Source organism: Homo sapiens, chromosome 3 (assembly GCF_000001405.40).
Source record: "Homo sapiens chromosome 3, GRCh38.p14 Primary Assembly".
In the NCBI taxonomy this organism is placed as follows: Eukaryota; Metazoa; Chordata; class Mammalia; order Primates; family Hominidae; genus Homo; species Homo sapiens.
In genome coordinates, this window is record NC_000003.12 from 159,913,043 (window position 1) to 159,930,047 (window position 17,005).

General features: G+C 41.6%; 1 long non-coding RNA gene across 1 annotated transcript in view, besides 1 other annotated feature; it reads right to left on the bottom strand.

Annotated features, from left to right (window-relative positions):
* Nucleotides 1-357: 357 nt before the first annotated feature.
* Nucleotides 358-17,005, bottom strand: part of IL12A-AS1 (IL12A antisense RNA 1) — a 293,693-nt gene continuing 277,045 nt past the window's right edge. The window contains exon 10 of the long non-coding RNA NR_108088.1: nt 358-1,432. This is a non-coding gene — a long non-coding RNA (IL12A antisense RNA 1). The remainder of the gene's footprint in view (nt 1,433-17,005) is intronic.
* Nucleotides 16,643-16,792: an enhancer, noted in NCBI's record as "active region_20754". NCBI's record gives its function as "activates an Ori minimal core promoter by ATAC-STARR-seq in GM12878 lymphoblastoid cells {active_cell/tissue: GM12878}" and the evidence as "EXISTENCE:reporter gene assay evidence [ECO:0000049][PMID:35858748]".

A 17,005-nucleotide genomic window follows, 5' to 3' on the forward strand; every position in this document is an offset into this window, starting at 1 on the left:
TATAAACTTTTCTTCTATCTCTTTAGCTTACTATTGTAATAGTGTGAGCCCCTTGAGGAAGTTAGATTTAAATAGTACACCTCTTAACCTCTGTAGCAAACTGTGTGCTCAACAAATGTTAGCATATGGTGTCCCAGAGCATACGTCTTTTTAAAAATATATATAGTTTTCAGGTGAGTCCTGGCTATTGATGGTCTTAGAAATTTAAAGCATTCTAAGCCCTTATGCGGGACATAAAAGACTGAATAAATCATTGTAGATGACCAATATCTATAATCAGAAATAGTTAATTATTGTTCTGACAGAAGTTGATTTTGGAGTGCCATAATATACCAAAGGAAAATTTTCAAAACAATATTTCTTAGAGCCATTTATTAGAATGTGAATGCTTTATGACAACTTTATTGATGTATAATTTATATACCCTAAAGTTCACCCCTTTTTAGTGTAAAATTTAGCAATTTGGGATAAACTTAGAGTTGTGCAAGCATCACCACAATCCAATTTGAGAATGTTCCTATCAACCAGTAAGATCCCCCATATGCCCATTAGCAATCAATCCACCTCTTGTGTCTCCTCCACAGGTTTACAGCCTGGGTTAGCCAGAGATGTGTGGATAGCCTAGGCCTTCTCTGGTCTCTCCCTACATCTGCTCAGAAGGCAGCTGGGGTGTGTGGACAACTTTGGGGTCAAGCCCCTTTGGGGTTGTCTCATTTCCAGCATATCCCTACTAAATTTCTAGCTTATCTGCCATTCTGATGCTTTCCCCAACCAGGACTGCAACCTCAGGTTAATGAATCACTGGCCTTCCCTATTCACTTGTCCCTAAGGTCACTGTGTCACCAGACAACATGGCTGGGAGTAGGTTTCTCACCCTCTGCCAAACCTGGAGTCAGTTTCTTCCAGCAATCAAACTTCAGGTCTGTTCAGTCTGCCTCATGCTGCCAGAACCTTTGTACTGACTGAGCTGGGGTGGGGAGAGAAACAGCCCTGGATGAGAAGCCATAGACTCCCACTATTTTTGCAGAAATAGAGCGATTTTTCATGGAAAAAAAAATGCTTCTCAGTTTGTTGTTTGCCTTTGGTCATTTTCTAGATTTCTGAAATGGCTGTTGTTGACAATGTCATCTAGTTTTATCACTGTTTCCAAGGAAGATGATTTGCTGACTTGCTCATTCTACCCTATTGGAAGTCTGGAAGTCTGGGTTTGATGAGAAACAGTTCTCCTTTGTTCAGCTTCTCAGTGTTCCAGCAGCTTTGATCCTTGGACTTCAGGGGACATTTTCCTATAAGTGATGATGCCTCCAGAGGAAAAGCCAGGGCCCAATGCCACCTTGCCAGAACTGTCAATCAGGAAGTAGCCAGACATCTCTCAGCATACACAGTTGGACTTGGTTCTTCAGAGGCAACTTCATGGGCAAGATAAGCCCAACTGGACAAGAGAAACAGCAATGAAAAATATGTATTAAGTATCCACAGGGTAAATAAAACTTCCTCCTGTGGATTAAAAGCTGAGACCTAAGCCCTTCCTCAGCCCAAGAAAATCTAAAGTTGAAGACTTTCAGACAAATGACAGCCTCACATAGGAATGTGTACAATTAGACTTCTGAGACAAATCTGTGGGGCTGAAACTACTGTTTTGAGACTGATATTTTATTCTAAGGAATGTAGCAAATTTAGGCTGGGTGCGGTGGCTCAAGCTTGTAATCCCAGCACTTTGGGAGGCCGAGGTGGTTGGATCACCTGTGGTCAGGAGTTTGAGACCAGCCTGGCCAACGTGGTGAAACTCTGTCTCTACTAAATTAGCTGGGCATGGTGGCAGGCGCCTGTAATCCCAGCTACCCGGGAGGCTAAGGCAGGAGCATCACTTGAACCTGGGAAGCAGAGGTTGCAGTGAGTCGAGATAGTGCCATTGCACTCCAGCCTGGGTGATAGAGCGAGACTTTGTCTCAAAACAAAACAAAACAAAACAAAAAGGAATGGTAGTAAATTTAGTATTTAATGCTCCTCTTAAACCCAGAGAGAAAATTCATTTTATTAAAATATCAAGAAGGCAATATAGCAGAATAGCTTGATGTGCAGCATCTGGAGCCAAATTCTCGCAGATCGAATTCTTTCCCCACCAACCCTTACCCCTTTTACATGCTGTATGACCTTGGGCAATTTTCATAAGCTCCTTTACCTCACCTGCCCTACTTATACAATGAGGAAGAGGATTACAATACCTGTCTCAGAAAATTGGTACATGTGAAAGGCCTTATAATCATACCTAACCTATACTATGAGCTCAGTAGATGTCAGTTTTTATTAATATTTTTAAACATCATTGTTTTGGGGTTCCCTATTGGCCAGGAACTTTTCTTACTAGCACTAGGGTAGAGCAAGGGAGTGAAAGCAGCAGATTGAGAGTAGTGTTTCTTCTTCCAGATGTAGAATTGTGCCCTATAAAATAATCACAGATCTACTCAGAATGACTCAGTGGCCACTATGCTTCCCAAATACATGTCCGGGAACTCCTCAGGCCCATCCTACCTCCACCTCCTGAGCTATCGTGCCCCCACTGTGCTGGACCGCAGGCCTACTGACAAAGCACCACTCTCCCCCAGCTGGGCATCCAAGAATCAGAGGGCCCTTCACCTGGATTCTTCTAGTGCTTCCCTTCACCTCTTGTAGCCAGGTTCTTGTAAGCCTGTACTGCCCAGGCCAGCCTACTAGCTCAACTGACTCCAGGCAATGGCCAACATTCCCTAAAGTGACACTTTGGAGCCCCATAAACTTGCCAAGACTGCTTGGATTTGCCTTTCTGGTCATCTGAACCAACCGACCACCAGTTTGATAAAGACAAACTCAGTGAATATCATATTCTAGGTATAGGTCAAAATTACAATTATTCCAGAATTTGACTTCAGTTCTTGCTAGGGCTGCATAAGGCTCTACAGAGTATTTTAAATGATTCTCAATATCTTAAAAAGAAAGATGGGCCAACCCCATTTGGAGAACTCAGTATACATTCCCACTGTCATGCTATATAACACAAACTCAGATATACACCATATGGGGTTAAATGATAAAATCAAGGTTAAGACAAACAAACCAAAAGAAAAGAAAAGAAAGCACTAAGAACGCATAGTTGTTTAAAGTGCCAGTGAACACAGATTATCTAAGTTCAAGTAGCCATGTGAGCTTGAATAAGCTAATTAACCTCACTGTGCCTGCTCCTTCATCTGGAAAATAGGGATAATGATAGTATTTGCCTCATGGGGTTGTTTTAAGAAATAAAAGATATAATGTGTGTAGCACACTTAGAACGATGCCTCACACATTATATTGATGCTTATAAAAGTTGACTAGTCTTCTACTCATTCTTATTATATTATTTACTAGTCAGATGAATCTACATTTCCTAACTGCTGGTCCATGGAACTCAAAGAGACCACAAAAACTTAGCACTAAATGGACTCTTAAGATACAAACTCCAATTATTCTTAATTAATAAGGTAAATTATATGGTAAGTCAGTGTTTTCAATGCAATTTGTGTTTTCAGTGAAAAAAAGAGGAAAGAAGTGTACAAATATTTTGCTCCATTTGTTTAAAATGTTAATAAGAATTTAGTCTGTGCTTTCATAATTTTAATGGTCAGTAGAGGAGAATTTTCATATTTTACCGATGTACACTAAGCCGGCACTGGGAAACACTGCTAGGGGAATAAACACTAGGAAAGAGTCTATTACGCTCTTTTATTCCCATGTAAATTTATAGGTTTAGTAGATTAGTGACTGTCCCAGGACACAGTCAGTATCAATAACAGCATTAAAATAATTAGAAAAAAGTTATTTACAACCGCACATTACATATATTTGTAGCACATATAACAAAGGTATTTTATTCACAATGTCTTAAAACCTTAGTTATCAATTAGAAACTGATTAACAATTCAATTTACAAATGACAAAACAAAGTTAATAGACAAAGATGCTTAATCTCACTAACAATAAACACAATGTAAACTAGCATATATTCTTCTAACACATTGGGATAATTGTTGATACCCAGGATTAGTAACAGTTGGTGGCCGTGTGAACTGATGCAGTCAACAGCAAGAATGCTACAAGACCTGTCTTCCTCTCAGGTTCAAAGCTACCTGAAAAAGGGTGTGCCTCAAAGTTCCATCTGGTCCATGGGCTCATATCCCCTGGGTCATGGGCTCATATGCCCATCCGGTCCATGGACTCATATCCCCTAGGTCAGATCCCCATCCCTAAACCAACCACTGTGGTTGCAGAATGCAGTCCCCTCGTTGGTTTATGCTGAGTCAGAGTTGGAGCTGCACCCAAAGAAGAAAAAATTGGGGAGTCTTCAGCATTTAAAGCCACAGAATTGGATCAAATCATCCAGGGAGAGAATTTAGAGAACAGAAGAGCCCCAGAACCAAGTCCTGAAAAACTATAATGTGGCTACAGATTCTGGGTGTATCTTTCCACACTTTCTGTATGCATTCACATTTATATTTATGTACATATGTTTTGTTTTGTTTGTTAATATACAAGAGATTTGCTCATGTGTATCTATAACATGTTTGTTTGTTTCACTTCCCAGTGTATCCCGGAGAAATTTCTTTGTCTGGTATTTCCAAGTTTGGAGCCTCCCTGGTTCATTTCTCAGAAGAATTAACTCTTGACTGAAGCCCGGAAGGAAGCAGAGATGGTCAGCTCTTTCAACACATGTGCTTTAGACCCTCACCTTCCTGGGTAACTGGTACCATCATTTCTTAAGAACTTGATAGGGCTTTCTCTCTTTATGTTTTATCGTTCATTACCTTTTTCAGGATTTGCTTTCATATTTTGATCTCTTTGGAGCTGTATCTGTGCTATTGCTTCAGTGAAATTTGAGGAGGGTAGGTGTGTAAATCATACAATCATGTGTTTAAGTATACATGCATATAAATATATAAATCATACCTATATATTTTTTTATATAATACTATTTTTTAAATTAATAAATGTATGTTCTAGAAGTTGGGCAAGAACTTTCTAAAATGTCTACATTTTCTTATTTTTAAAAGCTTTTGAACAAGCATTATTTTTACAAGGAAATATATATTTAAAAATTAATAAACAGATTTTTAAATTTTAAAATAAAATCCATGCTCACTGAAGAAATTATTGAAAATTCAAGAAGCAAAACAAATACATTAAAAAACACTTTCACAAAAATGTTGGCAAATCATATATCTAATAAGAAACTTGCATCTAAAATATATGTCAATCTGATATAATTGAAAGGATCAGAATTCAGTTTTGAAGAGTTTATTCAAGCAAAAAGCTGGGAATGGCCATGCAGAAGTCACAGACTCCAGAGAAATGGGGTTAATGTTCCCAACTTAAAAGTTAACTTCTTGCTTATATAGGCATGAAACAAAGAAATTTAACAAGATTATAGCATTTTCTATACAAAGCTGGTTTGTGAGTTACAACAATTTAATTAGTTATAGTCTGTTTTCTTTCTGCATGGTTTGTTTTGATCTTCTTTCCAATTTAAAAGAGTATATTTAACATTCCATCTTAATACAATGTGATAGCTATGAAGTCTTTGTGTGAGAAAGAGGGAAGTTAATTTATAATGAAGATCAACAGTGAAGAGAGAAGAGGCCTTCCCTGGCACCTTTCAGTTACTTACAATACTTTACAAAACAATGCAGGTAAGGAAGAAGGCTAATCTATAATCAGAGAAACAAAGTTTATAGCTTCCTAAGATATAGCTGCCAAGGTTATAGCTGCCTGTCATGTGACTCAGGCTTCATAATCACATTCCTTTCAGGCTTAAAATAATTTAGAGTTCCAATAGCTTAGATTTTGGATTACTTATTTTCACATATATAAAGAACTATTACTACTCAATAACAAAAAGACAACCCAATTTAAAAAATGGGTAAAAGATCTGAATAGATATTTCTTCAAATAAGATATAGCCAATAAGCAAATGAAAAGACACTTAACATCATTAGTCACTAAGGAAATGTAAATAAAGCCCTGTAAATACAAGCTAACCCTTGTGTATTAATAAACAAAATAAAACATATGCACATAAATATCAGTACAATGAGACACTCCTCCAGACTCACTAGGATGGCTATGCTCAAAGGTCAGATAATAACAAGTGTTGGTGAGAATGCAGAGAAGTGGGAACCCTCGTACACTGATGATGAGAATGTGAAATGGTGCAGCCACTTTGGAAAACAGCCTAGCAGTTCCTCAGACAGTTACCATAAGACCCAGTAATTTTATTTTAGGTATATATCCAAGAGAAATAAAAACATATGTCCATACAACAACATGAATACATGAATGTTTATAACAGCATTATTCAAAATAACCAAAAGGTAGAAACACCCAAATGTCCATAAAGTGATAAATTAATAAATAAAATGTGGTATATCTGTTTAATAGAATGTTATTTGGCAATAAGATGACATGATTTGGCCACAACTTCATGGATATAATACAAAAAGCATAGACAACAAAAGAAAAAACTATGAATTGGTCTTCATCAAAATTAAGAACTTTAGTGCATCAAAGGAAGTGAAAAGACAATTTACAGAATGGGAGAAAATATTTGCAAATAATAGATCCGATAAGAGATTTCTATCCAGAATATACAAGGAACTCCTAAAACTCATTTCTCCAAATGACCAATAAGCACATTAAAAGATGCTCAACATCATTAGTCATAAAGTAAAAGCAAATCAAAACCACAATAAGATACTACTTCACATCTACTAGGATGGCTATAATTTTTTTAAATACAGAAAGTAACAAATATTGACAGGAATGTGAAGAAACTAGAACCCTTGTACTTTGCTGGTGGGAATATAAAAGTGTGGTCACTGTAGACAACAGTTTGGTGGTGATGGTTTTTATATTTTATTGTATCTATTGTAGAGATGAGGTTTTACTGTATTGCCCAGGCTGGTTTTTCAAGAGAGTAAATATAGACCTACCATATGACTCAGCGATTCCACTCCTAGGGAACTGAAAATAACTCAGTAAAATAGCAGAGACTCAGATATTTGTATACTGATGTTCATAGCAGCATTATTCATAATAGCCAAAAGGTGGAACCAACCCAAATATCCATCAACAGATAATAAACTGCCAAAATGTGGTATATACATACAATGGACTATACATTCAGCTATATGGTACATACATACAATGGACTATTATTCAGCTATAAAGAGGAATGAAATGTTGACATATGCTACAACATGGAGGGACCTTGAAAACACTATGCTTAGTTAAATAAACCAAACACAGAAAAACAAATACTATATGAATCAACTTATATGGCTGGAGGGTAGGGGAAGAGAGACTTATAAAATGGCTACAGAGTTTTTGGGGAGGACAAGAAAAAAGTTTTGAGTATAGATAGCAGTAACAGTCATAAAACATTGTGAATGTATTTAATGCTACTGAATTGTACACTTACAAATGGTTAAAAATGATAAACATTAGGTTATTTATATTTTACTACAATAAAAAAGAAGTGAAGTGCTGATGCATGCAACAACATGGATGAACCTTGAAAACACAAGAAGTGAAAGAGGCCAGATACAAAAGGCCACATATTATATCATCTCATTTATAAGAAATTCCAGAATAGGCAAATCTATAAAGACAAAAAACAGATTAGTGGTTGCTTACGGCTTGGAGAAGAAGGACTGAGGGTTGACACCTAAGGCATATGCAGTTTTTTATGGGGTGATGAAAATGTTCTAAAATTGATTGTGATGATGGTTGAATAGCTGTGTACTTACACTAAAGACATTTAATTTTACAATTGACATGGGTCAATGGTACAGTATGTGAATTATGTCTCAAAAAGTTGTTATAAATACAAAAAAAGAAATCATTCAAAATTAAGAAAATTAGACCAAAAATAGAAGGAGGAGGAAGGGGAAGAGGATCTAAAGGGAGAGGAGAGACAGAAGGCAAAGGAGAAAGAATAGAAATTTTTTGAGTCAGCAAACACAAAATTGTAATTTGCTTGTGAAATAATTGTCTATATAAAGTGGACTCTTCAGACAAATGTTGCTGAATTCAAGGTTAGCACACCAAAATCAATAGCAGTCTGTAGCAGGCTGAATAATGTCTCCAAAAAGATACTAGGTCCTAATCCTTGGAACCAAATTAATGTTACCTTGTTTAGATAACATGACTTTGCAGACATGATTAAGTTAAGGAAGTTTAGAAGCAGCCTAAGATATAAGAGGAGAATGTCCCATTAATGCTAAGGGATATGAGTGAAGCAGTAGAGTATGTCTTCCCTTTCAGAGGCTACAGAGAATCCACATATGATTAAGACCACAGGATCTGTCCATTAGGAGACTGTATTAGTCTGCTTGAACTTCCATAACAAAATGCCATTGGCTGGGTGGCTTAAACAACAGAAATTTATTTTCCCACCACTCTGGAAGCTGAAAATCTAAAATCAGGGTGCCAGCATGGTCAAGTTCTAGTGAGGGCCCTCTTCCCAGCTTCACAGGAAGACAGCCATCTTTTTGCTGTGTCCACACATGGTGGAGGGAGTAAGCTGTCTAGTTTCTCTTCTTATATGGGCACTAATATCATCATGAGTGCCTCCTCCTCATGACCTCACGTAAATTTAATTGTTTCCTAGCCCCATCTTTAAATGTCATCACATTTGAGATTAGGCCTTCAATATATGAATTTGGGAGAGGGGAGAAATTCAGTCCACAGCAGAGATTGTTAATGACCGTTGAGACAGAAACTTCAGAAGAGTAGGAGGAGCAGAAACAGACGGTAATGATAGGGAATGGGTGGCAGTAGCCACCTATATTTTTAGCACTTTGTGCCTGGAATATAGTAAAACCTTAATAGATATTAGTTAAATGACTGACCGCTTAGTAGGATTCTCTGAACTTTCACCTGCACCCTTCCTAACTTGGTTGTTACACCTTATCTTGAGTTTCTTCCGCATTCTGCATCCTGCTTCCAAAATCCCTCTGGACTAACTTTGTTTTAAATTTCATAGTTGTTCTAAAGGAAGCACTTGAGGATCATGCCCCCAGTGGAGAGCAGCCAGCCCTGGTCTCTGAAGCTGGGTGTCACATGAGGAAGACCAAGTCTGAAGAATACTATACTAAAAATCTATAGATCATAAATGTGATCATGGATCACAGATCTCAAGTTCCAGAATGCTTTGGAAGGATATTTCAGGGATACGAACTCAAAATATTTTCAGGAGCTGGGGAAATAAAGTAACTGAGTGGACCCAGCTGCATGTAAAGCAATGAGGAGTGTTGATGACTGTGTTAAACTGGGTGTTCCCCAGGTCTAAATGGGGCAGTGAAATGCTGATGCATGCAACTACTCAGTTCCAGCTAACTGTTGCCACAAAGGATCACTGTCCCAGGTTTTCTTATTTCCCAAGAGAAGACATAATCTCAAATTATTATGGAAAACTGCCCAATTGTTAGTGTTACCAATTAGTTCAAATTAGTTGTGGGAGTTCAACAGAGGACACTTGCCCTGAGACAGTTGAGCCAAATAAGACTCGCAAGTTGCTTGTGGTGGTTCCTGCCTTAGATTTTACAAGAAGTTAATTGAAGATAAGTAAAGTTCTACTGCTACAAAATAAGTAGTAAAATGAGGAACCTCATTAACCCGTAGGACACAATTAGGGGTGAGAATAAAAATAAGCTTCCCATAAAGTTTCACTAAATTCATGCAAGGCATAACCAAAATTAGAATTGTCGAGGTTATTCAGAGATGTAAGACACATCCCTAAGTGCTGAAGAAGGTCACACAGGCTATTGACAACACAGCCTTTCATGGCCCCATCAGAACAAACCTTGATGAGGAATGGACAAGAGAATGACAGTATCACCAGTCAACTCAGATCCAGGCTCTCACTGGGAGTGGGAAGGTGAGGGGTGGGGTGTGATGGGTAAGGGGAGTCAGGAAAAAGAGAATGGGTTCTGTTTCCTTGGCCTCGCAAAGCTTCAGTTTCCTCATTTATACAGCAAGGGGGCTGGGCCTGAGATGCTCTCTCAAGTCCCTTCCATGCTGCAGCTTGCACTCAAGCATGGTCTGGTTTTGTTTCTGTTCCCCTACTGTGACACAGTGCTGTTTTCTAACCAGCAGGAGCATGCAACACCTCTTGGACTCGATGAAAGCTGTCGCCACAGGTTTCAACCAGTCAGTACTCTGAAAGAGCATCTTGGGGGAAAAAAAGCGTGTCAGACATTCATCTTCATAACCAGAAAGTGAAGTCTCGCAAAGGAAAAAGACAAGACTAAAGGGAATAAACCATCGTTGTGTGGGCTTTTTCTTCCACTCAGCATCTCTTCCCTTATTAAAATGAGAGGGATAACTTAAGAAAAAAATTCGTGCTCTGGAGGATTAAATTGCACTCATTTATTCATTCATTCTACAAATATTTCTCGAATGCCTACACACTCCAGCCCCGTTCTAGGCTTGGGGGCCACCACAGTAGAAAGACTGGCATGCTGACATTCTTCCAGGACAAGACAGACATCAAATAGCTAAGCAGAAAGACCAAATTCAGACTATAAAGATTTTTTTAGGCTGGATGAGGTGGCTCACGCCTATAATCCCAGCACTTTGGGAGGCCAAGGTGGGTCGATCACCTCAGGTCAGGAGTTCAAGACCACCCTGGCCAACATGGTGAAAACCCGTCCCTACTAAAAAAAATACAAAACTTAGCCTGGCATGTTGGTGGGCTCCTATAATCCTAGCTACTCAGGAGGCTGAGGCAGGAGAATCTCTTGAACCCAGGAGGCGGAGGTTGCAGTGAGCCGAGATCATGCCATTGCACTCTAGGCTGGGCAACAAAAGCAAGACTCCATCTCAAAAAAAAAATAGGTTTCTATAAAATAAGCTATGAAGGAAAGTCACAGGGTGCTGTGATAAGAAATAACCTGAGGAGGTCTGCAGATAGCCTCCATGAAAACGATATTTAAGCTGGAAAGTGGAGAAGGAGCAAGCAGGTCATAGAACTGCTCAGGGAAGGGCTGGAAATAGGAAGTGCAAAGTCTTGAGTCACAGAGAGCTTGGCAAGTTCTAGAAAGGGTCAGAAGGCCTGTTGGCTAGAGCCTGCTGACAAGGGAACGAGTGGACTGGCCTGAGATGGCTGAAGAGGCAGCCAGGACTCGCGTGGCCATCGTAAGGAGTTTGGATTGTATTCCATGGGCAATGAAATTCCAAGAGCTGCTGAAAGGGGTTTAAGAAGGGGACAGCCAGGTGCAGTGGCTACGCCTATAATCCTAACACCTAGGGAGACCTAGGCAGAAGGTTCACTGGAGGCCAGCCTGGGCAATGTAGCAAGACCACTTCTTTACAAAAGATTTAAAAATTAGCCAGGTTTGGTGCTGCATGCCTATAGTCCCAGCTACTCAGACGGCTGCAGTGGGAGGATCATTTGAGCCCAAGAAGTCAAGGCTTCAGTGAGCTATGATCATGCCACTGCACTTCAGCCTGAGCAGCAGAGCAAAACCCTGTCTCAGAAAAAAAAAAAAAAGTTTTTGTTTTTAAAAAGGAACTCCTGGCTTCTTAATGGTGTCATCAGGATTTCAACCCAGACAATCTGGCTCTGTGCTCTGTGTCCCATGCATACCTCCTCAAGTTATTCTTTATCACAGACAGTATCAGATTTTTCCAAAGATCCCCTGGCTTCTGTGTGGAGATTAGATTGCAGGGAGGCAGGAAGACTCCTTCCTGAGTAGGAAGCAGACACAGTTGTCCAGGCCAGAGATGATGGATATGGAGAGAAGCAAATGGGCTCAGGAGCCATCTGAGAGACCATACTGATGGATTGGATGTACATGGTACAGGAAGAGCAGAAATCAAGGATGACCCTTAGATTTTTGACCTGAGACGCAGACATTTGTAGGTACCATTTACTGAGATGAAGAAGGCTGGAGAAGGAGTGGATTCAAAGAAGAAAAAATGGTTACTCCAGGAAGTAAATGACTGGGCTTGGGAACCACTGCCCTAGAGGAAGCTCCTGCACACAATGTCCCATGTCACAGTGCTGGCCATGTCACTGCTCTGCCCAAAACACATCCATCACTTTTCAATGCCACTGAGACAAAATACTGAGCATGGAGTTTAAAGTGCTTTAAACTGGGCCCTTCTCGAGTCTCCAGCCTCCTCTCCTTCTACTTCCTACACACATTCTACCCTCTTTCTATTATTATCATTAATCTTATGTCATTCCACATTATTTGCATTTCCTTGAATATGCCTTTCTCTCCTTACAACTTTTAGCCTTTCAACACATTGTCCTTCCCTAGAACATCCTTCCCTTCTCATCCATTTGCTGAATTCAATTCAACTCCACTCAAAGCTGATACTCCTTCTTAGAGGCCTTTCTGGATTCCTCCAGGCCGAGTTGGGTGTGTTTTCTAACAGAGGTAGCATGATGCTAATTTACAGCACAGAGTCAGATTGTCTGGGTTCAAACCCTGACCACATGACTAAGCCTCCAGGAGTTCCTCAAGATTAGAGACAATAGCTGAATCAACTTTGTACCACCCCAAAGGGCCCAGGACTGTGTTTGGCACATAGTAAGTACTCAGAGTTGAGAATGAATGAATATGTGCCTGAAAGTTGCTTGGTGATGATTCTGTACAGAGGCATAAAAGATTTTCTTCACTGTTCATGCTAGGCTTAGAATCCCCAAACCAAGTTCTCAAATCCTCCCCTAAACTGAAAGTATCCTCCCTGGAGATATACATCAGACATTGCTGAATATCTCAAATGAGAAGCAATTACACTTATTTCCCTCCAGTGCTTTCCCTTCTTTAGAAGAATTTCCCTCTTATGAGCCTGGCATCTACCTTGTCTTGCCTTCCTGGATGCCTCATCCATGCACAAGCTGAGCTCCCTGAGGTGTTAATAGCTGGGCCGGCCGGCTCCCTGGGTCCTTCAGCTCTGTCTCCAGTTCCCAGTAACAATGGCATCAGCCTGCGATCTCGGAGCCATAATGACTTCTAACCCACATGTATGTTCTCCAGGTTTCTTCCTTATTCAGCCATCTAAAAGGTCTCACTTTAGTCTGGAGATTCATGCCGCATACTAGGAGGCAGAGGGGAAAGAAAAATTTGCAGTCCAAAGACCTGAGTTCAAACTAGCCAGCAGATCTTGAGCAATTGCTCTGAATCAAATCTCCAAAATGGGCATAAGAAAGGTTCCTGCCCTGCAGGGGCATTCTGTGTATGGGAAGGTATGTTAAAACGACTTTGAAAACTAAACATTTTCATGTCAAAAGATGAAATTTGGCATCCTGAGAAGGTATTTAGTGATGCTCCCATTCATTCTCTCAATATTGTAAGTACTTTATCAACTAGATAAAGTTGATTAAAATCAATTGTCTGGCATGGCGTGTGTGTGCTCTGTGCCATGGCACACAGTAGAGAAGAGCAGGGCTGGATTCATACTCAGGTCTTTGGGTCTAAGTCCACCTGTTTTTCCATTCTGCTGGACAGCTGGTTTCCAGGTCAGCAGGAAGCAAGCATTCCTGCTCAGGAGGGCAGGCCATAGTGTATGGTGACTTCCTCTGCATATTCCTCTACTCTTGGTCTCCCAAACCCTAGTTTCCCCCCTTTTCTTCAGGGCTTTGGTGCTCCTCAAGACCACAAATCCATCTGTTAAGATGGGGGCGGTCTTTTCTTCTTCCTGAAGGCTTTGGCCCCTGGGCCGAGGCAAGCCCGTATTCATTGCTTCATAACAGTTATTTATACCTCTTCATGGGATTCTCATCCATGCACCACCCATTCAAAATTTCCTGATTAGAGACCAGCCAGTAGCAGTGGTTCACACGTGTAATCCCAGCACTTTGAAGGCCAAGGCAGGAAGACCACTTCGGGTCAGGAGTTTGAGATAAGCCTAAGCAGCATAGCAAGACCCTGTCTCTACAAAAATAAAAATAAAAATTAGCCAGGCATGGTGGTGTGTGCCTGGCATGGTGGTGTAGTCCCAGCTACTCAGGAAACTGAAGCAGGAAAATCTCCTGAGCCCAGGGGTTGGAGGTTCCATTGAACTATGATCATATCACCGAACTCCAGCCTGGGCAACAGGGTGAGACCCCGTTTCTAAAAAACCGACCAACAATAACAACAACATTTTCTGAGTACCTATTATGTGCCAGGTGCTGTCTCAGGTACTTTGGTCACACCAGAATTGAGCCAGGTACAAGTACAGTCCCTAACCTTGAGAACTACCAGCTGGTCTGTGGTGAAGTCAGGATTTGAACCCAGGCAGGTTGTGAGTTTTACATCAAAAGGGTTCTTCGAGTTCATTGAGTCCAATCCTCTCATTTTATAGATGAAAATGCTGCTTCAGTATTGTAAATATTTACAGTATTCTAAGGACTTTGAAACTATGAGATACGTACAAAGGAAGAAAGAGAGGCAAAGAACTTTTAAGTAGCTTGCCTAGGATTGCATAGCCAGGCATAAATGGCAGGGCTGAGATTCAAACCCTGACGGCCCAGCTTCAGTGTCCACACTGTTGACCACTAACCTGTCTGTCTTACTAAATGGGGAGTAGAATGTGGGCCCACTGGAAGCTGCCAGGCCTCGGGTCCACTGCAAGGCACCAGCCCTTCTCCCACATACCTGTCAGGATACCCTCTTCACCACCCAGCATGCCACACAAGGCCTGATCTTGAGGCAGAGAGCAGAAATGGGGTCAGTGGCAGCCCAGGCAACAAACTAGAGAGGAGTTTGTTCTCTGCTGTTTTCTCCCAGCCTTCAGTCAGCCTGGGAGAGTGATTTCCCAGCATCTCCCAAGTCATACAGAAAAGCCCTTGGAGACACAATGGGGGCCAAGCAAATAGCCCCCACCCTCCAGCTGAGCCCTCGCCACTCCTCTCTCGCCAAGTCCTGCAGCCCCTTTTGGCCTTTGCCTGACTTTGAGGGAACAAATCACCAATCTCCAATTAGGACTGACATTTGAGTGGAGAAACTTCAACAGATGGGTTGAGACAGATCTGCGGATTAGATACAGGGCCCTCATGAAATGTCGAGTCAAAAGTCCCCTCTGGGGTCTATCAGGCAAAGCACTCCAACTGGCCCTGAGCAAGGCAGGCCTGTGGAATCTGGACAGAGGCCTCAAGCCTGCCATCTCTGAGCCTGGGCTGCACACACACCACTCCTTGCCTTGCAGCACATTTTTGCAGCTACTTCCTGCTGTCAAAGAACAGACAGACTCATCTCCTTTGTGCTGATGTTTCTGGGTCCCAGCCATGTCAGCATCAGCCTACTTCATGCCCCTGCAATACAAGGAACCTGGTCTGAAAAGCCTTCTAACTCTGCTACTGCTTTCAGGGACCCACAGCCACTTTAAAACCATCACTCATCCCATATTTATTAAGCATACAATATGTGCCAGGCATTGTGCTCAGTGCCAGAGATCAAGTGGTAAATATGGCAAATATGGTCCCCTGCTTTACAGAATTGATGGTCCAATGGGGACACAGGCAATCACAACAAAGACTAATGATTATAGGGCTAGGAAACCTAGCTTAGTCTGGGGGGCCAGGAAAGACTTTCTGGAGGAAATCTGAGATTTAAAACATGAATGGAGTTTAAACAAGCAGAATGAAGAAGAGGAAGGAGAACTGGGCGAAAGAGGATTTGAGTCAGAGAGAGGAACACATGCAGAGGTCTTGGTTTGTGAAGAAATCCTCAGCTTTTAATTAGGGAATGCTGTGAAGAATGTGAGTGATAGGATGGCTATGGAATGTGGAGAAAGGAGGCTGGCAGGACAAGGATGGGCAAGGTCACCAAGGGCTTGTAAACCAAGTTAGAAGTTGTACTTATGAGGACAGCAGAAGCCAGTGTTGGGTTTTATGTAAGCAAAAGTGTGTCTGACTCAGCATTCCATGGTCATGATTCGAGTATAAAAATGAACTGGCCCAGCCAGGCGAAGTGGCTCACGCCTGTAATCCCAGCGCTTTGGAAGACCGAGGCAGGCAGATCACCTGAGCTCAGGAGTTTGAGACCACCCTGGGCAACACTAAAACACAAAAGAGTTAGCCAGGTGTGGTGGCACGTACCTGTAGTCCCAGCTACTAGGGATGCTGAAGCACGAGAATCACTTGAGCCCTGGGGCTGGAGGTTGTAGTGAGCCAAGATTGCACCACTGCACTCCAGCTTGGGCTACGGTGAGACTGATTCAAAAAAAAAAAAAAAAAAAAATGAGCTGGCCCTTGGGCTTGCCGTCACCTCCTCAGATAGGCCTCCGCTGAGCACTCTAGCTTGCCTGGGGAGGAGGGACAGAGCTTTGATGTGAATGGAAGCTGGAAATTGTGATTGTCCCAGGCGTGACTGGTAAGTTATGGGATCCAACTGGGCTATGTTTTAAAGACTTCAACATGGCTCCGTCGATCACATGTCTTGCAAAAAACCAAGCCTTCCATTTCATAGCCAACCAACAGAAGCTCCATCTGGCCCACTTGCTATAGTGAACACCAGAGGGAACCAAAGCCAGACCTTTGAGGAAGAAGTGTGAGGAGGGAGGTGGATGTTTCCCATAAAAGAGTAAACATGAACTTTCACTTTCTCTTGGACTCCAGGGAGGTATCAACAGCAACACTAAAACATTGAAACAGCATTACTTCCGCAAACAACTCACCCTGACAGAGTCTCATTCCTCAAAAAGAATGGTTTTAAAAGAATGGTGTGAACTCCACAAGGTTCAGCAGTAATAGTGAGGGAAACACAATAGGGGAAGGCCTGTGAGCTCATCCTGTGTGGGGAGGGGCCGGCAGGAAGTCCAGGCCCTGCCCTCAGTGACAGCAGGACTCCAACACTCATTCTGGAAGCCAAAATAAAGAAGGGGCGCTGACATGGGGTTGGTTGGGAGAAAGCTGCTTACCTCACAAAGAGGGAAACTAAAACTACCACAAATGTGAACTATGGCTCTGTGAGTGGAGCCAAGGGGAGCGGGATTTCCTCTT